Genomic DNA, 718 nt, shown 5'->3' on the forward strand with positions numbered 1-718 from the left:
CATAAACTTAAGCATCACAGCCACTTTGATTGAACTGTTTTTCTACACTTAGTTAAGATGCACTTTGTTCTCCCTTAAGGAAACTTGGAAAACTTGCTAATGATCAAGCAACAGACCATCACTCCAAGTGGTTAATCTGATTCATTTTATATTGGATCTTATTGACTTCAGTTTTCAGACTTGACTCCCAAATTTTCCTTGATGTGCCTTCTTTGGGGTGTGTGTCTGCCATGCAGACTATACTGAACATGAGATGGGTGAGTGTAGAAGCTAAGAGCCTGGACTCAAGAGTCAGACCTGGCTTTGAATCTCAGTTCTGCCATGTACATGATCTGTGATTGCAAGAGGTCATTTAGCCTCTCTGAGCCTGTTTCCAGGCAACGAAATAGGGGAATTATAGCATCTTAAAGATGCTGTGAAAAGTTGATAGCATTACACATATTACTTATATTTATTGAACACCTACTCTGAGCCAAGCACTGTGGGAGGCCCTGGCCAAGGAGTGGCAAAACAAGAGGTCTATGCGTGGGAGCCAACGGCCAGCAGCAGAGCTTACATGTAAAACACTTGGCACAATCCCAGACTCATGGTTAGTTGTGGCTGTTATTATTTACTGCTGAGAGTCATTGATTACCAATGAAGTCCTCCTTTGAACAGGCAAAAAACCCTTGTACACTTCCAGAGGAGAGCAAAGAAGTGAAGAAATATTGTCAGCATG

This window comes from Homo sapiens, chromosome 6 (genome assembly GCF_000001405.40).
Source record: "Homo sapiens chromosome 6, GRCh38.p14 Primary Assembly".
Taxonomy (NCBI): Eukaryota; Metazoa; Chordata; class Mammalia; order Primates; family Hominidae; genus Homo; species Homo sapiens.